Source organism: Homo sapiens, chromosome 7 (genome assembly GCF_000001405.40).
Source record: "Homo sapiens chromosome 7, GRCh38.p14 Primary Assembly".
Taxonomy (NCBI): domain Eukaryota; kingdom Metazoa; phylum Chordata; class Mammalia; order Primates; family Hominidae; genus Homo; species Homo sapiens.
Window position 1 is genome coordinate 36,583,230 of NC_000007.14, and position 21,557 is coordinate 36,604,786.

The following is a 21,557-nucleotide window of genomic DNA, read 5'->3' on the forward strand; positions in this document are numbered from 1 at the left end:
TTTGATGTGAAGAGTTAGGGAGGGGAGTAAATTAGGATAAACTTGGGTAACTTAGAGACTAGACAGGCTTTAAGGCTTTATCCAGGGACCTTTTCTGCTAGGAAAATTTAAGAAAAGGGTGGATAACTTTCTTTCTAATGTGGATGGAGGTCAGGCCAGCATAGGGCCAGGGAGATAGATTAAAGACCTTTTAAGATTCCTTTCAGTCCTTTGATATTAGCCACATCCCAGAGTTCTGTGTAACCCCTAACTCACTACATCATAGAACAACTAAGATGTAGCCTCAGAGAGTGATAAACATACAGAATATGACTCACCGTGGACTCAGAGAGACTGGCAATAAGCTAATTATGCAGAGGTGAGGATGGCTACAGAGGAGGTCCTAGGAGTTCACATACAAAAAGATTAGCAGGACAGCATGATAAATTTTGAATTTGGACCAGAAAAATAGTACAGGGAAAAAGACTTCATAGGCATTGTGTTCAATAATTCATGAGCTGCTGGGCTCAGACAAGGCTTCCTACCTGTTAGGTTAACCTCTCACTAAGATTTCCTCCCCTCCTGTTCTCTGAGCTTGAAGCAGGTGTAGCTCTCTCCATCCTGGCCTTTCCCAGCCCCAGATTTGATTCTAGGCCACTGTATTAGGGTGAACATTAAACTGTGATAAAGTGGAGACATTTAAGGCTGTGGAGGCTTATACATCTGAAAAGATTACTTGTGACATAGCAGATGGTTTTAATGACCTAAACGGCATTTCTCAAAGGATGTTCTGTGAAACACCAGTTTCTTTGAATTTTTCTCATAAAACACACACACAAATTCTACATAGTTCTGTGGTCAAATAAGTTTAGGAAATGTTTTATATATTTTTGAATGTTTTATATTTTTTGAGGATATACAATGCTTTTTCGCATAGTGAAGGCTATAATAAGCCTTATACCAAATAAGCTTGTTTCCCTTTATTTAAATTAACATTTCCAAAACTTATTTGACTTAACACGTCTTTTAAGAAATGTGTGTTAGTACCCTTTAACATTTTGTGGAACTCATATTTCGCAGAAGAGTTTATGAAGAATATTGATGAATTATCTCTGTGATCTGTATTTAAGCATTGAGGTGGCCTAAAATCTCAAGTTCAGTTGGTTACAACGATTCTACTAGAGAAATCTGTAGAGTGTTCATTTACTTTGATTAATCTGGGTTGCAAAATTACATCATTCTGGGCAAAAATTCACATCAAGGTTTGACTTATCATTAGCCAAATTCACTTCTTAGCAAATCTCTTTATTTCATTTTTTCCACTTGGCTACTGAATTGATGTTTCTTTTAAATTCATTTTCTCCTATTTGTTGATTACATATGGCTAATATTTTAATGTTAATTGTGTGATTTAATATTTTAATTAATTTTGCTAATTTCTTGCAGAATACTTATTATAGGACACACTTAGAATTCCAAGGGTTTAACTTACGCTGATTTATTTTTACATATTTTTACATATCACATCATGCAGTTGCTAATTCAGCTATACTCCTTTGCCTATTTCCCCCAAAATGTTAATCCCAACAAATCTTATTTGATTTAGATAATCTGACAAAATGCACATGAAGGAGGTTTGCAGATTGTAAAGCACTCTACATGGGCAAACTGATATCCTTATGAGCTGGTTCAGCAATTCTTTTATTGAGCACCTGCCATGTGTCATGTACTGTGCCAGGTAAGAGGGCTACAAAATGAAGTCACCTGATTCCCATACTCAGGATGCTCAGAGTCTGGGCATGGGAAGGTGGAGCATGAGACAAGTAGTAAACAGGTATTATAAGTGAGGTGACATTGGTATTGAAGGACATGATAGGATCTCAGAAAATAATCATCCAGTTAGATGGGGGGTCAGTATGAAGGGGCTGTCTGGAGGGGTATAAAAAAGAAATGTAGCTGAAGACAGAGAGGCTGGGGGATGATCCCTGAGGGGTAGGTGCTGCAGCATGGGCAGAGGGCGACTAGATAGGACAAAGACAACGGGCGATGCCTGTGAAAAGATGCTCAAACTCACTAGTAGTCAGGAGGTTACAAGTGAGAACAACAATACAATGTTGTTGTTATAGTGGAAAAAATTAAGAAGATGAACAATATCCAGTATTGGCAAGGGTGTGGGAAAACAAATATTCTCATATACTAATTGTGGGAATATAAATTGGTATAGCCCATTTGGAGGCCTTATTAAAATTAAAAATGTAAACATTTGGGTCCAATAATTTTTTCTTAAGAAATCCTCACACATATTCCAAAGAGTCAGTACAAAATGCTCATTGCAGCATTACGAAGAATAATGATACTCTGGATATAAGTTGGATGTCCACCTGTAGGAGAAAAAAATAACTATGCTATGAAACACTATGCAGTATTGGACAAGAAGGAAAAGAGCTCCAAGAAGTATGGCTAAGGTGAAGCACTGATTTACAGTAGGTTAAACACAATATGATAGCCTTTATGGGAAAATCCCAACAAAGTGTTCATTTCTTCATGTACAAATGAAAATACACAGAAAGGGCCTGGATGGAATCACACTAAACTGATCACAGGGCTTTCTTCTAAGAAAGGGAGTAAAACTGGGGACAAAAAGTGAGGACTTCAGCTTTTTACTTTATACACATTAATTTTTTTGTACAATGAAAATATATTCATATTTTGAGTAATTAAAAATGAAAAATTAAAAATAAATAGGGACAAGGGGAAGTCATTGCAGGTGAAGGGCTTTGTCAATATATGGCAGGGAGAGTCCCTCCACCAGGATCCATGGTGTCTACAGATGGTCCGTCTTGCCCAAGGATGGTGCCTCCTTATGCCTGGGTCCCATCCCTTCTTGCCTTCTCTAGGCTTCATTCTTTCCTTCATTCCCTTTCTCTGCCTTTTAGATCATCCTATCAATACAAGTATGCTGCAGGATTTTCCATTTTAACAAGTCTTCCTGATCTATTATTCCCTTGCTGCTATTGCCCCATTTCTCTGAAGCAAAACCCATTAAAAGTTGTACATGCTCACCCAAGCTGATGTCATCACCTCCTGAACCCATTCTTTCCAATCAGGCTTCCAGCTTCGCCCCACTGAAATGTTTCTGCTCCAGGTCTCTCCAGGTCCCTGTCTTGCACACCCAGTTGTCACTCTCAGCTCTCATCTTCCTCTGCCTCCCCCATCATTTGGCTGATGCTCTCTTCTTATTTGGAAACACTTTATTTCCTTGCCCTCCAGGACTGTAAGCCCTTCCAGTTTTCTTTCTACTTTCAGGGTTGTTCCTTTTCAATCTTCTCTGCCCAGATCTCTAAATGTCAGCATCTCCTAGCCTCTCTGTCTTCAGCTATGTTTCCTTTTTATACTTACTCCTTAGAACAAAAGTTCTCAAACTTTTGCTCTCAGGACCACTTCACACTCTTAAAATTATTGAAGAACTCAGAGAGCTTTTGCTTATGTGAGTTAAAGCTGTCAAAATTTATCACATTAGGTATTAAAATTGGGAAATTTAAATGTACATTTAATTATCAATTCATTTTAGATTATTATAATAAATCCATTACATGTTAACTTGTCACTTTTTTTCTAAAAACAAATATATGTTTTCCAAAACCCTCCAAGAATGGCATTGTTTTACATTTTTGCAAAGATCTTTAATGTCTGGCTTAATAGAAGACAGGTAGATTCATGTGCTTCTGCATTCAGTCTGTTACGATGTTTTGGTGAGGGTATATTAAGAAAATCTAGTTTTGGCTGGGGGCAGTGGTTCATTCCTATAATCCCAGCACGTTGGGAGGCTGAGGTGGGTGGATTGCCTGAGCTCAGGAGTTCGCGACCAGCCTGGGCAATATGGTGAAACCCTGTCTCTACTAAAATACAAAAAATTAGATGGGTGTGGCAGCGTGTGCCTGTAGTCCCAGCTACTCGGGAGGCTGAGACAGGAGAATCGCTTGAACCCAGGAGGCAGAGGTTGCAGTGAGCCAAGATCACGCCACTGCACTCCAGCCTGGGCAATAGAGAGAGACTCCGTCTCAAAAAAAAAAAAAAAAAAAAAGAAAGAAAGAAAAGAAAATCTGGTTTTATATACACATGTAGTTGGAAAAGGGAGGAGCACTTCAGTATCCTTTTTAGATAACTATGGATAGCTGTCTTTGATTCTACACAAGAATTCAACAAGTAGTAGTTTCTTAAAGATTGATTAGTTGCAAGGTGGAAGCTGAAATTATATCAATTATCTTTAATACCTTGTTACGTTAAAATGCATTGGCCTGTCTTGCACTTTTAATGAATCTTTTACCCATGCATCATCTTAATCATACACTAATATTTAGAAAATATTGGTTCCTGAGTTATGAAGATATTCCAAATGTTGATACATTTAATGCTATAATATAAAAAAATCATTTTTGTTAATATTGCTACATATCACATTAGAAGAGTCTTAGACTCTTAGGAAACTGTCAGGTTCATACTAGCAGATGCAAAGTTTTCAAAATTCAAATATTTTCTTTGAAAGCTCAAATTTTATGATTTTCAAACAATACTGTCAAACAATGTTTGAAACAAAACATTGAAAATATGATTTTCAAACAATTATTTTCCTTGAAACTACAAGCTCATTTCATTCATTTTAGATAAAGTATCTGCCATATATCCAAGTCTGAAAAACCATGATTTGTTATCAAGTAATTTTTCAATAAAAATGGTGTTCCATGAAAAGTTAACTCAGCTCTCATCTCGCCTACACAAGTGCTTTTCCCTAAGACAGCCATCATCCTTTGTTAATTTATTATGCAGTACAAATGCTTTATGCATATTTCACATTTCATCAGATTAAATTATTTAAAAATCAATTTAATAAAATTAATAATGTTTTTTCTGCTTTGTACTATGTGACATTTTTAAGGGAGGATGTCCCCCTCTTGTTTTAAACTGGGAGGTGAAGAACACAGTGACTACTAATAGAGTTTGGTGCCAGCACTTGATTCACGCTAACGTGTCAACAGTTCTACCCACCATTGCTTTTGTACCATCTGTACCAATGGCTACATAGTGGAAAGCCTTAGTATTGTTGTGAAAGTAGTTTTTCACTTGTGGACCCCCTGAGAGGGTCTTAGAGACCCCACAGGGGTTCATGGACCACACTTGGAGAACTGCTGCTATGGACACTATCCCACTCCAATCAGCCTCACCCAACTTCAGAGGACCACCTCTCTGGTTAATTATTTGTTTTGCAAAGTATAATTATAACAGGGCTAATCATTTGCAATTATATCACATGTAATTTGCGAATAATGGATTTAATAAGGTTATTAGGCCCATTAGTGTTTAGTACTTACATGTCCTTTTTTGAAACATGAAATTAGGTTAGCAAATTTTAGCTGCAATTCCCTACTCTCCAATTTTCTGGCTTTACTGCCCCAAGTGACTTGGTTCAGTGTTATACACTGATTTTCAAAATTATTCTCTCATATAACATCTATTGGGTAGGAGAGAATAGATAACCTTTAACGCTTCTATTCTAGGACACCTCTCACTAAAGGTGTGTTTAAATGCCCCTGAAGAGCATTATTGTACCACTTATAACAATGGCTTTGTCTGAGTATTTGCTACATCTTTGGTTCAATATGCCAAATTTAAGCTGGAGGCAGAGGGAGCAACATTTAATCTAGAAAATGTCATCTGGTTTGCACTCATTTATGCTGACTACAGATCTCAGTTTTATTTCTCCAGCTTGGTGTGACAATTTTGGTAGCTGCTTTTGGTTCTTTTGGCCTTCATTGCTTTTTATGATGAATTTTAGCTTTTTACTTTTTTTGAAAAAGCTCTGATTGCTGCCCTGTTTTTCATCCTTATCACTTATCCTTGTCTGCAGAACCCTACTGACTGGACTGACTCCTGGCCCCACCTTCAGAATAAGGGGATACGAACGGCCAGAAATGCTCAGTTTAGATGTGTTGGGTTCAGGTGGCTATTTTTGTTAAGGACTTAGATGCCTGTTTTCCTCTTTTGGGTTTGCTGGAGAGATATAGTAAACATAAAGGACAATAATGGAGTCCCATGTTTATTTAACAGCCTGTCAAGCACTCAATATCACACAACACAGGGCTTACTGTGCATGAGACTGCACTATACCATAGGCTCTATACCCTGGCCAAACACTGTTTCAAGAACTTCAGGCTCTGACCCATAAAGTTAGCCATGTCTTGTCTTGAGGTACAGGCTAGTTAAGGAGTAGGGGAAGACATAGTGGGTAGCAGAAGCAGGAGCATCTCTCTTGAACAATTTCCCTCAGTACTTCTAAACCAAGTAGCGTCATAAAGTAGGATCATGTTGCCCAATAACCATGCCCAATGAGCGTGGGAGAGAACGTCAGAGATCATCTAGTCCAACTTAACTTGAGCACATAAATGAGGTTGAGGAATGCTAAATGTTCCACCTGGAATAACACAGAATGAGCACCCTTATAACTGAAAATACAGACTTCCTTTCACTCTATCATGCCTACTCTGGGATTTTAAATGATGCTTTCAAATGAGAAGTCCTTCCTTCTTGTAAAAGTTTTGGTATTGTTTCCCATCTTTCTACATGTGGTATTAGATCTTTGGTTTCTTTAATGTAAGTAGGATTTTCCTGTTATATGAATTGCTTTGGAAAGTGATCTGAACATGAAGTACAATTTTTAATCTTAATTTTTTTTACTTTTTTATTTTTACTTTTTTAAAGACAGGGTCTTGTTCTGTTGCCCAGGCTGGAGTACAGTGGCGTGATCATAGCTCACAGCAATCTCAGCAATCTCAAACTCCTGGGCTCAAGCAATCTTCCCGTCTCAGCCTCCTGAGTAGCTAAGGACTACAAGTACATGCCACCATGCCAGGCTAATTAAAAAAAAATATTTTTTTAGAGATGAGGTCTTGCTATGTTGCTCAAGCTGATCTCAAACTCCTGGCCTCCAGTAATCTTTTCACCTCAGATGCCCAGTAGCTATTTTTAATCTTTTAAAAATACTTTTTTCTTCCTATTTACAGTTATACTGCTCTATTGCCAAGCTCTTAACCCCCACAGAGATTTTTTTTTTCTGCTTTTGACCTACTCAATCTCTTCCTGAATCACACTGAAGAAAAATCCCAGTATATTTTTTAAGGGATATCACTTATTGAATTTTCTGAAGCCCAAGAGTCAAGAAAACAGTTTTTGTTAACATCAACTCAACTAAAAGAACTAAAGGTTTGTAAAACTAAGGGGTTATGTTTGTCATTTAATGCATGCACATAATTTCAATTAAAGTTATCTATGAAGGGGATAATAAATTTTGAGAGGACAAAGAGCATAAACAAAGAATGAAAGGGAAGGAGCCATTTCCTCTCCTGATGCTTTCACAAGGCACATTTTCCAAAGGACGCTGTTGACACCCATAGCAGAAGGCTGATCATGATGGTAGGAAGCGCATTCTGGAGATCCAGTTGAATAGAGAAATCCGCCAATTCTGTGGATAAGCATTTGGATTCAAAGGGCATGTGCCCAAAATGCCCATGGGAGCTGTATACACCTCTCAGAAGTGCTGCTTCTGGGTCAACATTCTTTTCATTTTCCTGATTCCACAAATGAGGACCTCCATCATATGCTAATCTCTTTGATATTTTTATATACTTTATAACTTTCTATTCCTTTAATAAGGAGATTGGCCTAGCACAAATTATCTGTGAATATAATTTATACAATGGTATATGGATACTTTAGCTGTAACTACTGCTGGGAGGGACATAGCAAATTATGATCCCACAGATGCAGTGTCATGCTGCCTCTGTTTCTGCTTAATGGGGGAATCCATTGCAACTCAGATTCCAAACAGAGAATTTCCTTTTCCATTAAAAGGAGTTGGTATATTCTTCTCCACTCCAGCTGAGTGGCAGCAAACACAGGCACAGTACACAGAAACAGCTGGCAAAAAGAGCATTCTGAGAGGAACAGCTAGGGAGCTTGGGGTCCCACAAACACATAGAAAGAAAAGTTCCTGCAGGGGAGGTGAACAACCAGCTGTGGTGTGTGCCTCGTTAGAAATACAACAGGTAAGGACAGGACTTAGAGTCAACACTAAGGAAGTTGCTTAAGCAGACTATGCGTTTTTTGTAAGCAGTAATAGAGAACCGAATATAAAAAGGTACTAGGTCAATAAAGACTAGCTCAGGATAGAGATGGTTTTCATATAAGCCACACCTAGATGGTCACTTACTTTGTGAGATGGTGTCAGAATTTCTCTGCATAATGCTTATAAGAGTTAGAAACCATTCATGTCTGAAGGCTCTCAACTTTTCCTCTTCCCCTTACCCCATTGCCATGCTTTGATGGAAGATCCTGTCTGCCTGCTGGGCACTGATCAGGATGATGGGTAAAAACTGCTGCAGGATTGAAGAGCTAGTGGGATTTTACATTGATAAGGGAGTAAACCCCTGGTGGGAGGACAGAACAGATGCAGAAAGGAAAAGGGAGCTTTCCCTCTCATCCCCCAATAGAAACTCAAAATGACTGAACAGAGTCTGTTTGGGAGAAGGAGCTAAGTGTGGGTCAAGTTTTGGGGAAGTTTAGATTTAGGAAATACAGAGCAACTACTGGTGTGTGCGAGCTGTAAGCAGAAAGAGATGAGGAAACATGTTTTTATCTGTTTGCTGGGCATGGTGAATGGATTCCTCTTTCATTCCTTGAGTGACTCCAGTAAAGATTTAAACTACTTGGAAATTAATTTTAAATATCGGATCGGTATTTCTTTTATGGCAACTTCATGGGGCCAAAAGGTAGTTGGGATTTATAGAGTCAATATGTAAAAATTTAAGCTTTCATTAAAGGTACAGTAAACTGTGTTCATTGTTCATACCTAATTAATTCTTTTTGTTATTGTCATAAAAGCCTTGATTGAGAGAAAATTCCAGATACTTTTATTGAGAAATGACTAGACTGGGTGGAGGGCATTTAAACATATATATTTTTTTATTTTCTGATGTTGAAATTGGGGGGATGACCAAGGTTCTCTCTTCTATAAACCTGCTTTGGCTGGGTTATCTCTGGATGTGTTCCAGGTAAAGACAACAGAGGCTGTAGCAGAGGGAAGATGGGACTGAGGCTAGGACTCAGAAAGTCCCAGATGTCTGTGCTTATTGGGACCCTAAGGAGGCATATGATGGGTCACTGAAATAGTGCAGGCCACACCTCTACATGGGGAGGACTTCTCTTGGTTCTTAGTCATTTCTCCATCCCATAGCTATGCTCTCACACAGAGGGACAATGGTTAGAGTGAGCCATATTCCCACACAAAGAATAAAAACAACACAAAGTTTGAGAGGCAAGAACATATCTTTGTTATGATATGACACAAGGTTCCATGAAAACAGACCCTACCACTCTTGGCTGGGCAACCTTGGTCAAGATTCTTATTCTGTCTATTTGCCCTTGGATCTCTCAACTGCAAATGCAGAGAACAATACCCACTACCTCACAAGGAGGTTAAATGAGAGAATATCTATACAACACTCAGTAAATGCTTGGCATATAGTTACTTGTTACTTCTCAAAGGTTACTTCTTACTATCCCTATTAGTAAGTATTTTAGTATTTTTACACTAATGACAAGGACTAGCCTTTTTTAAAATAACATGATTAAGTTTGAAAAGGTATAACTACACTGGAAAACACATCTCCTTGGCTTTCCCTATATTGGCAGATTATTTCTATGTAAATATGAGTACGCTTCCCTGAAGGTTAGTTCCCTTCCTAGTTTCTTCTATGCCCCTTTTATGACCCCAGTCTCCCATGTGTTACCCACCCAAAGGAAGTGACTGTTGATCACTTCCATGAACTCTTTTTCCTCGGAGCCCCGTGGCTCTGTAGGAGACCTGTCATTAGTATATCTTCCTTGCATTACCATTATTTGTTCACTTGTCTCATCTGCCTTAATTGCAATTGACTACAAAGATGGGACAAGCCCTATCTACCTTTAAATGGACACCTGTAACATCTGTGCCTGATTAGGTGGTTAAGTATTTAAGAAATATTTTTAAAGCAGATGAATAAAAATCATCAAATAAATTATTCATGGCACACAATGTTCTTTGTTCATCAGAATAATTGCTTGTTAAAATGATTAATGTCTGTCCTTTGGGGGCATTCCTGTTCCTTACAGATTTGGGTAAATCACACCCCATGCACACTTGCCCTCCTCACAGTTCTCATGGCTTATCTCATGGTGCTTTCCAGCCTTCTGCCATTTTTGCCTGAGTCAGAGAGGGGCTTCCTAGCTGGTTCTGTCCTGTCTTTAGACCTAAAAGCAAAGCTCTACCCTTTCTTCTTTTTTACACATGGAAGCCATTCATTTGCCATCTTCCTTGTGCCTATTAACTGTCATAAATGTTTAGGAGATGTTGGGAGAGAAATTGCCTCTCATATCTGTGACATTCTCCCATCCAAGTACTAACCAGGCCCTGCTTACCTTCCAGAGATCAGACAAGATCTGGTGTGTTCAGGGTGGGATGGCCATAGACTCATATCTGTGGTTTACTACCATGTTAGGGACACTTGCCAAGTTTCACCAGCATCACAGGTGTCCCTGCCAAGTGTGGGCCCTGGGAAGCAGACCCCAGGCCTTAACACCCAGGCATATGTAGTGAATTGGGTTTGTGTGTCATTCAAACTCACCAGGCCTGGTCTCTACCTACAAATCTGGGGCATTAAAGCCAGGATGATTCTAGGACTTTGAGAAGTGCCAATCAGCTTTGGCCATTATCTTTACAAATTTATTTCTGAGAACAAATAAGTAAACTTTGTTTTTCCTTGAATCAGAAAATTTCAGTGATGTGTTTAGTATTTTCCATCAGAGGTAAACTATGGAACTCCACCCCCACCCTGCCCATAGCAGGAATATGCTTTTCTTGCCAGTGCTGCTAAAATACAATTTGCATTACATCCTACTGTATGGTGGATGAACTCAAATTCATGTTCTAGAAGCAGTTCCTAATAATTCGCATTTCAACATCTTGGTAGCAACCCCCATCTCTTGTTCTTTCCTTACACAGAGGTATTGAAATGTCTGAGGGTGCACAAAGACACTTACCCAACAGTGGAGTCCAGAAATCCTGTAGCACCAGAGAGTTGGGGCCAGTCAAGCTCGTTGGTAAGGGCTGTTGGTAGATTGATGAAAGAGTTCTAAGGAAAACAATAAAGTAGCAATTATCAAAATGGTCATTTATTTTCTAAAGGTAGTAAGAAAATTCATGGCCTGAGTGTTGCTCTCTGTGTGTCTGTTTCCCACTCTCAATCTCTCGCTTTAAGGGCTTTTGGTATTCAAGGCAGATGTCTCTAACCTTCAACTTCATCAGGGAAGTCACAATGATCAGCACCACCCTTGACCTGGCTTCCGCTCAGCTCTTGTGAAACATGCAGAACATTTGGCATCTCAAACACTTGGGAGGGATGCTTCAGCAGACTAAACTTCCCATTCTTACATTTTCTGAGATTTTCTCCATTTTGCAGTTTAGGCCATCAGAAAGTCAATCATCTGAAAAGTAATTAATCTGAAAAATAATGCCTAATCCCTCAGAAAAAAATGCCTTCCCTGGGTTCAAAGCTATGGCCTTAAGGCATTAAGGTGGTGCCCTCTGACCTTCTTGGGGGTCTCAGACATTTTTGAGAATCTAATTGTGGTTCCTTTCCCCACAAAAATGCACGTGTATTTAACCTGGCCTGTGATTTCAGGAGGCTCACGGACCCCCTGCAACTCCTGCACAATTTGTCAAGAACTCCTGATACAAAGTGTTGACAAAAATAGGATTCATTTGAACCACATTTCCATGGCTTGTGCAAAATCAGCAAAGAAAAATGTGATGAGTTACAACCTCATTTTACTCCTTTTATGAGTGACTTCTGGGACTAATCTCTCCTGTGGTCTAAATTTTAGAAAAAGCTTATCTAAATTGGTATGTTTGGAATAGGGCTGCCAGATTTAGCAAATAAAAATAAAGGGTACCAGCCAGGTGCTGTGGCTTGTGCCAGTAATCCCAGCACTTTGGGAGGCTGAAGCAGGAGGACTGCTTGAGCCTAGGAGTTTGAGACCAGCCTGGGCAACATAGTTAAAATTGGTTTCTACAAAAAATAACAAATTTGCTAGGTATGATGGCATGTGCCTGTGGTCCCAGCTACATGGGAGGCTGAGACAGGAGGATTGCTTGAGCCCAGGACGTCAAGGCTGCAGTGAGCCATGATCACACCCCACTGTACTCCATCCTGGGCAACAGAGCAAGACTCTGTCTCAAAAATAAATAAATACATACATAAATAATAAAGGATGCCTAGTTAGGTTTGAATTTCAGGCAAACAAGGAATAATTTTTTGGATTAGTATGTCTCATGCATGCAATGGTTGGAACATACTTATACTTGAAAAATTTGTTATTTATCCTAAGCTCAAATTTGACTGAGTATCTTGTATTTTATCTGGGCATCTTTCTTTGGATGAAAGCTTTAAAAGCCAATATTCCCTTTTTGCCTTCGCTGACTGGAAGCCTCCATGAGTGGCTGCAAGAAGCCTTTGTATTTCTCAATATTGAAAATCCGTGCTCCCTTCGGGTAAATGTGAAAACCTTGAGTCCTCCTTTAATGCTATTTTAAAATTTAAAATAAAGTAATGTCTAAAGACAAGCATGTCAAAACAATTGTAGCTTTAGCATAATTTTCCAAATGGCACATGCCCCTGGCCTCCTGCTTTTTTCCTCATCCATGAAGATCCCTCTCCTAAGGAGACTCTGATGCTAGAGGCTGCGAGGGAAAGAAAAGCCATTAACTCCTTGAAAGTATGTCATTGTTCTTTCTTATTGCAAGGTAGTACATGGGTTTGTTTTAGAAATGCAAACATTATAGTCATTTACAATGCAGAAATGAAAGCCCCCCCACCCCCCGTCACCTTCCCCTAAGAGATAACTCTTGTGAGATAACCACGGTTAACAGTTTGTGTCATATATAAAACAGTTTATACGTGAAATCTACCATAAATCTTTAAACTGGGAAAAACTCAATCCTCCTATTTTCAGAGAGATAGAGAATGAGCACTCAAAATAAATAAAATGCAAATTTATATTTCTTAATTGTGGACTGTTATGGGTTGAATTATGTTTCTCGAAAAGATGTGTTGAAGTCTTAACCCCACCTCAGAATGTGACCTTGTTTGGAAATAGAGTCGTTGCAGATGTAACTAGTTAAGAAGAGGTCATACTGGAATAAGATGGGCCCCCAGTCCAGTATGACTGGTCCTTATAAGAAGAGGAGGAGGAAGAGACAGAAATGAAGACACAGGGGGAAGGCCGTGCAATGGTGGAGGCAGAGATTTGAATGATGCTTCTGCAATCCAGTTAATGGCAAAGATTGCCAGCTGTCTCCAGAAGCTGGAAGAGAGGCATGGAATAAATGTTTTCACAGACCCCCAAGAAGGAACTAACCCTGCTGACATCTTGATCTCAGACTTCCAGCCTCCAGAATTCTGGGGCAATCAATTTACGTTGTTTTCAGCCACCCAGCTTGTGGTACTTTGATATGGCAGCCAAGGAAACTAATACATGGCTTGAATCGGACAATATGCTTGTTGCTTTTATTATTCAAAGGGCTAAGACATGAACCCCTTTACTATGTTTACTTTCAAAATAATTCCTAGAACAAACAAATGTGTTCAAACGCAGCAGCAGTCATCCCATGATATCCTGTATATTTTCTGTGGGTCTCTGAGCTTCCTCTGCTCCTCCTTCTTCAATTGCCTCCTCCTTCCACACATGCCACGAAACCTCCATCCTTATTCTTATCCTAAGTGTGATTTCCAGCACGGTAGGGGCTGGAAGAGGGAGGAGTTGGTCAGGAAGTATGGCGTCCTGGGATGCACCTGTATTAATGATGATTTATCCTCTTTAAAAACCAGAAACAACCCCATAGAAAGAAAGCTCCCAGTAAATCTCAGAGGACCATGCAGTCTCAGTGACAGGTACTTTGTCACCCCTTAGCATTCAGCACCCACCACTTTCTGCTCGAGACTCCACCATTACTGTGACTCAGCTATTATCTGTTTGAGTTTCTATTTCTCCTGCCACTACAAAGCAAAACTTTTCTCTGTGTTTTATCTTATTTTTCCCTACATCTTTCTGCTTACAATGTGTGTTTACTGTAGGATGAGAATATTCATTCTGCCAGACAAGACAAGAAAAACAAATAGAATGGATGAAACTCACAAGATATGTTTAGCAGAGATAGTGAGTAAGCAAGTGGCTTGCGAGATGCAGGCAGAATTTATGAGCTGTGTTGAGTCAGTAACCTGCAAAACACGTTGAAACTTACAAGAATGATATGGTTCTTTTCCACCCCACTCCCTCACCTTTTTCTCTGTCATCCGTGCAATGGCAACTCCAGACTTGGGAAACTGGATGAGGAACTAGGTTTCTGATTCTGTCTGGGACTGCTCTCCCTTTCACAGGAAGGAGTTAGACAAGAACTACGCAGGCATAGGCATACCCTCTGTAGCCTGGCACACTAAGGGAGGGGTAAATAATTCTGAAGTGTGCCAGCAAAGTAGAGAAAGGGCTTTGCTCTAGAAATCGGATGATCTGTCTTCTGCGTCTGGCTCTACAAATACAAAGAAGAAACACAAATCAAGAAAACTCCATGATTGGATCTGACACCACTGGAAATAAGTTCCATACCCCCGGCAACCCTCATTCTCGGTCAGGGGTGGGTGATGAACTTCTTGTCTTCAGTGGCGGAAGAGGGGATGTCGAGAGGAGGGGTAGGGTAGGTGGGAAAACGGCAGGCAATCCTGTCTTGGGAAGTGGGATCTCCATGTTGCTAACACTCTCCAAGCTCAGTTCTCTGTGGATTAATCTGAAGAAATGGGACTCAGCTACCTGGGAGATTCCTGGAATCCTTGCTGATATCTCAGAAACTAGTTAGTCTTGGAATCATCCCCATTAGGATTTCAGCTGGAGTGGACAGTGGCTGGTGCTGAATCACAACTGGGGCCAGGGTGAGTTTGTATTCCTCAGCGGGAGCCCTGGAAGGCCCAGGCAGACCAGGTCACTCGATGAACTTCAAAATATAGCAAACCTGTGCTTTCCTGGTTGAATGTTTTAGACTTCACTTCTGGTGTTAAGCCAAGGCTTTACTGTTATTAGTGTGCAAACTTGGGGAAGATGTATTTCAGTTTCAGTATCTCCAATGACTATAGAAATATCACCTTATTTACTTCAGCAAAACTGTGAGGAAGACCAAAAGACACAGTCAGAAGCAGGTTGACAAGTCAGAGCCCTACTATGTGAAGCATCATGTTTAGGGCAGACCACCTAGTGTCCCTTTCCAAGTGAACTGTCCCAGGTTTAAGAGGAGTGACATTTATTTGCCAGATAATAGAAAAGGTTTGAGCACACTAATAGAAGCCTTGGCATATTTTTTTTCCTTAGTAAATTTGGTAGATAAAAATGAAAAGTAGTGGCTATTAATAGCAAATGTTTTATAGACCCTAGCAAAAAGAGAATGTTTAAGTCCTATCACATTAAACACTAAAAGCCTTATTCACGCAACATTATATCCAAGATACTTCAGGCATTTGAGGCAGGAGGAATGCAAATTAAGATTTTCCTCATCAACTCCTGCTTATTCCTCTTGAGCATTTATGTTCTTAGGAAACTCGTTTTAAATGTACCTTAAATGTACATATGTGAAAAAGACTGAATATTTACCAAGAAAAATTTTCCAAACTTAAAGAGCGTGAGCAACCTAGTGAGTGTTAGATCACTACCGCATTGCTTCAAAATTTCTTCTGACCTTTATCAATGATAGATATTTATTTTTACAGCATAGTTGGCACATGTTTACTATTTTGTGTAATAGTTTCATTTAACGTTTCCCTGTGTGTGGGTATGTGTGTGTGTATTTCCATGCATCGAGAAAGCCCACTGGTTCCCATTTTTGATGGATATTTAGTAAATACAATAATTCGAATTTGGTAATATTTTAAGCCCTAATGTCAGCAAGCAATTGATGTTCTTAAAGCTTTGTTGTGTGGGAGAAAGAGAGTAATGACACCAATCCCTCATTCATCTGATTCTGCCAGTCTTCCAGCAAAGCAGGGAGTATCCTCAGTGCCTTTCCTTCACTGTTTACATTTGGGCTCTCTCCATCCTGCACTGCTGTGGACAATCTACACAGTATATTCCCTTTTCTATTACATGTACCTGCATTAGACCTGAATGGATTATTTTCAAACAGTACAAAGTCACTTGGAGGAATCTAAGTAACTGCTGTTGGAAAAAGATAAAAAATGTCATCACCAGTTAAATAAGCATTGTTTTATCCATTCCCCAGAATTAAAGTCTCAAAGCAGATGGGGGATTGTTACTTTACCAAAAAAAGAAAATAGCTCTTGGGTTGGTATTTTTAATAACGCTGGAGAGTTTCAAGGCCCGGGAATCAAAGACAAGGGCTACCTGCTTAGCGTTGGAACCATGGGTCTCCCAGTTCCGCTAGTTGGCTCCTCCTCCGTCTGTCCTGCAGTGGCGCTTGCAGAAGGTAAGCAGGGTTCCTCCTGCTTTCTGCCTCTCAGTCCCACCGTGCCACCACACTGCCTCCCATCTGCTCAGGTCCCCACCGCTCCCATTACCTTAGTGCCTTTCTTGTGGGAGCACCACATTATGCAACTTTCAGAGCCTTCCTTGGCTTTCACACACACTTTCCTGCCAGACTCCCATTTCTGTAGCCTCTGCTGCATGAATCTGTCCTACAAATAAATGTCTAACCTACTCATGATGCTTGGATGTGCTGTTTCCCAGATAACTTGCATTAAGCGAGAGTGGGGAAGAGAACTAATGCGGGGTTCCCCTTATGTGCCAGGCACTGAGACAGGAAAAACTTGCACAAATTGTTCAATTCAATTACACAACTCTGTGAGGCAGCCTTCCTCCCTCCTCTCCTCCCTCTCTCCCTTCTACAAACACTTTAGAGCAACTACCATGTATCAGATTGGATATTCCCTCTAATAAAGAACAAGTATTCACACCTCAGACAAACAGCAGCAAATTAAATGACCAACCCTTAACCCAGTGAGAGGCTCTGGGAGGGCCCCTCTTATGATGAGCACCTTCCCTTGTTGATTCAGGCCCCTGGAGGACTTCTGTGTTTTCTGTTGTTGAAAGAATCCCTTATGCAAGGCAGCGCAGGGCCCAGGACTGCTCTGGTCTGAACTCAGATATGTCTGGCCTGACATATCCCGGGGAAAGGCCCCCGGGAGACGGCGCACACCACTGCTTGGGATGACTTGCCAAGGTCATAGATCTGGTAAATAGTAGGGCTGGGATTTGAGCCCAGGTTCTGGTGGAACAAGAAAGGGAGAGGTGTAGAGCAGGCCGGGTCAGCACCATCCTCAGCTTCCCATAGCCCACTTGTATCTGGTCCTTGCTTTGCCCCCAAGCTGCCAAATCCCATAAAATCACAAAATGGGCCAAGCTGGGCTAGATAGTCCTTGAACGTGAGGCTTCCTGGTTGCCTGTTTAGGGGGCAGTCTCCCAGATACTGCTTTGGGTGAAAAGTTCTGAAGTCCACAGATGATTTGAGAGCTGCCGCCATCTTTTCCTTCTCTCTTTCTCTTGTATGGAGACCGTGTCTAATTTATGAAGAGTGCAGAATGAATATTTTGGGGAAAAATACTGAAACCATATGTGACCCTACACAGAAACCCCCACACACCCTACTCTTCTGCACCCAGGGCCTGTCTGGCCTGACATACCCAGGGGAAAGGCCCCCGGGAGATGGCGCACACCACTGCTCTGGAGGTCTGCCTTCCAGTGGGGTCTGGCAGAGGAAGTTCTGGGAGAATAGAGAGAGGATATATCATCTGGTTTCTGCCTCTGTCATCTCAGGCTTAACTAGATTAGGTAGCACAGTTCTCATAAACTAAGGCTTTAATATAGACAACTTCAAGAAAGTAATTTAACTCTGTGCATTTGATTTGTAAACCTTATAATCTCCCGTGTGTGAGATGAGTCTCATATTGAGGGAAAGTCCCTGTGGCCCTATGATTCATTATACACACAGAGGCACACAGAGGAAAAGAGGGAGGGAGAGGGGGGAAGGGGAGGGAGAGAGAGAGAAACATCAGGCACCAGACTGTGCTGGGCACTCTGTTGGACTCCATACCAGGCAGCTGTGGGCTCCTTCTTCATGGGACTCACCGTCTAGAGGAGCACAGACAATAAACACTTCCCATCTGGGTAACCTGGAAGTCTTTCCTTAATCCTTCTGTGCTTCAGTTTCATTACCAATAAAAATAGCTTAATAATAGTACCTATCTCATTGGGTGGTTGAGAGAATTAAAAAAGATAATCTATGCATGACGTTTAGACTTGTAAGAGCTCAATAAATGTTAGTAGCATTAAGGGCAGTCCAGAGTACTGTGTCAGCACATAGAAGGGACATCTGCCCCACATGTGGGGCTTTCAAGAAAGGAGTCTTGAAGGAAGTCTTATCTAACGTGTGAGTCCTGGAAGGCTAGGAAGAGAGAACCAAGCACAGAGGGGCCAGGGGGAAATAGTTCCAGTATTGCTAACACCGCATGCAAAACCTCAGGGCTAAATTCATCATATCATATCCAAAGGAGACCAACAAACACCAAGTATTACAGTTACACATTTTCATGTAACAGGTAATCCCCAAATTTAGTGACTTAAAATGTACTACACACCAGCAGATCAGTAGCAATAACTACTCAGCACCTGGTACGATGCTTATTCGATGCACATTCAACTTCAGCGAAATAAGTCACTTTCAGGGAAAAAGTAGAGCCTTTCCTCTTTGACCCTCTGCCAGTACAAAAGCTTATGGGGGCAGTGAATAAACAATCAAATAAAAAATTCTAGCAAAATATGACAAGTAAATACAAAGAGGACAAAATGGCAAATAACACTCCATGTTTCATCATTTTGCTTGAATGCAGCTCTTTTTATTTATTTATTTTTACCTTGTCAGCTCCTCTTAGTTTCTTTCTTTTCCTTTTCTATTATTTATTACTTAAGCTCTAACCCTATGATTTATTTATTCAATGAATGAGTCGAGGGATGCATTTCTCTCACTGCCGCATACCAAATGAGAACGCATTGTACAGTTAAACTCTTTCTACTGAATTCCCTTCCTTCCATTGTTTTTTTTTTTTTTCATCCCCTAGGGTGATTGAACTTTTTTTTAGATACATAAAAGCAAGAAAACAAGAGTATAAAATATCCTCCTCATATGCAGAGATAACCACAAATCAATTCTTTTCTAAGGCCATTGAAACAAATTCTTCCACAAACAGAAAAAAAAAAATTCCTCCAAGGGCCTGAAATGAGCACGAAGAGGTACACGTCCTCAAAGCTGACTCTTCTGATACCTTTGATTCTGTAAAAGTTTAGTCATTTCTACAACAGCCAGACTGCAATTTGTCTGGGATGTGGGTAGTTTTTCTTTTTTGGGGGTAATAACTGGAATTTGATACCAGAAGAAGTCCAAGGTCAAGTTACAGAGGGGAAAGTGGAGAAGACCTCACTGGGGCCACCTGCTCACCAGGACTGACCTGGGCTCTTGTTCCCCATGACCGTGATCATAAATGATGATCTCATTTTCTTTCTCTCCGCTCTTTCACTTTATACCAAGAGGCTGTCCCAAAACCTTGCCATTCCACCCCTCTGGGCATACACATCTGCTGGCCCTGGGTGACTGCAGCAACCTCTGGCCAGGGGCCCTGCTTCCTCACTCTCTTCCTACATCTTCAGTAGTGTTTCCCAGAATCTCACAGGGAGCTTCTTTAAAGTACAGATCCTGATTGGGTAGGTTTGTGGTGGGGCCCTAGTATCTCATTTTGAATAAGTGCCCTACCTGACTGCAATGACTGGCCATGTAGGGAAACCCTAATCTGCAGGCTACTGTAGCTATTCAATGTCATCCTCCACCACAAGGAACCTCCATGTCCCCAACCTCTCCTGACAGCCCTCCTCTCCCACCCCCGTCAACAATCTGGGTCCCCTGAACCTACCCCTATCCCCGCAGACCTCCAGGTCTCACCACAAGCTCTTCCTCCAGCTCCACTGTCTTGACTGCTCAGTTGCTAATCAACAGACAAGGGTTGGTTACATCTGGACTTCCTCTCAGAGCCTTCCTCGCCTGCCCCGGCCTTTCTCTCTTAGGTGTCCTCTTCTAGGTCTCATGGTAGCTTGTGCATGCCTAGCTGACTGCACCTAACCCTCTAGCACTAGGGCAGAGGCTGGCAAACTTTTTCTGTAAAGGAATAGACAGTAAATATTTCAGGTTTGCAGGCCGTTTGGTCTCTGTTGTGACTGCTCAGTTCTGCTGTTGTCATAGACAATATGTAAGTGAACGGGCATCGCTGTGTTCCAATGAAACTTAGTTTACAAAAGCAGGGAGGGCAGTGTCTGACCCAAGGGCCATAGTTTTCTGACCTCTACTCTAGGATCCAACAGACTTAGTTTGTATCTGGGCTCCATGTTTAACCTTTTGTCAGTTAGCTAAACTTGCTAAGTCTCAGTTTCTTTATCTATAAAATACATATAATAGCAGAGTCATTTCAGTATTGTCTTAGTCCATTTCCTGCTATAGTCCATATTCTGCTATATTTTCTCTGTCTATATTCTGCTATAGCAAGATACCTTATAGTGTAATTTATAAACAACAGAAATTTATTGTTCACTGTTCATGGAGACTGGGAAGTTCAAGATCAAGGTGCTGGCAAATTTGGGTCTGGTGAAGGCCTCTGCTTCGTAAATGGTGCCTTGTTGCTGGATTCTCACATGGGGGCAAGGGAGCTCTTTTATAAGAGTACCAATCCCAGCCATGAGGATGGAGCCCTGATGACTTAATCCCTTCTCATCGGCCCCACCTCTTCATATTAACAGTGGGTATTAGTTCCAACATATGAATTTTGGGGGGACACCAACATTCAGACCATTGCAAGTATTAAATAAGATAATGTTAAATAGGATACTTGGTGTTTGGTAAGCACATGGTAATATTTGCTTTCTATTATTATTATTAATTATCGTGAGCTTATTTGTTTATCTTCCCAGCTAGACTTTACATTTTTTGAGGCTGAGCCGGTGCTTTTCACCTCCAGAGCCCCAGTTATCCACCTTTATCTATTTCTCTGTCTTTAATAATAGAACAGTGATAGTTGGGCATAGGGCTGCCCAGCCAGGGACTGCACTTCTTAGTCTCTGTTGCAGCCTGGTATGGCCATATGACTAAGCTCTGGACAATGGGGTGTGAGAAAGAAGTGATATTTGCCACCATCGTGCCAACTTCTCCCAAGGGATATGTGTGCCTTCACTTGGTCTTTTTTCTTCCCTCCAGGTGACAGGTGGCAGGATTACGGGCAGCTACCTCAGACCCCAGGATGGAAGCTGCATGTTGAGAATGACCTAACTTTCCCCCAGCCCTGGACTGCTTCCCTCTGGATTACTACATAAAAGGGAAACACTTCCATCTTAAGTCA

At 40.9% G+C, this 21,557-nt stretch overlaps 1 protein-coding gene and 1 long non-coding RNA gene across 17 annotated transcripts in view; both read right to left on the reverse strand.

The window, feature by feature from the left end:
* Nucleotides 1-21,557, reverse strand: part of AOAH (acyloxyacyl hydrolase) — a 211,554-nt gene that overhangs the window by 70,289 nt on the left and 119,708 nt on the right. For 15 of the 16 annotated variants that reach the window (NM_001177507.2, XM_011515334.3, XM_017012102.3 and 12 more), the window contains one exon: nucleotides 11,110-11,201. In NM_001177507.2, the coding sequence (NP_001170978.1) occupies nucleotides 11,110-11,201 (92 nt within the window). Of the gene's footprint in view, nucleotides 1-11,109; nucleotides 11,202-14,405; nucleotides 14,553-21,557 lie in introns of those variants that run through there. The other variant, XM_011515342.3, reaches the window with a different exon arrangement.
* Nucleotides 14,605-16,891, reverse strand: AOAH-IT1 (AOAH intronic transcript 1). Its single transcript, NR_046764.1, has 3 exons — nucleotides 16,514-16,891; nucleotides 14,932-15,077; nucleotides 14,605-14,653 (listed from the first exon to the last, which is right to left on the reverse strand). It is a non-coding gene; the product is annotated as an AOAH intronic transcript 1 (long non-coding RNA).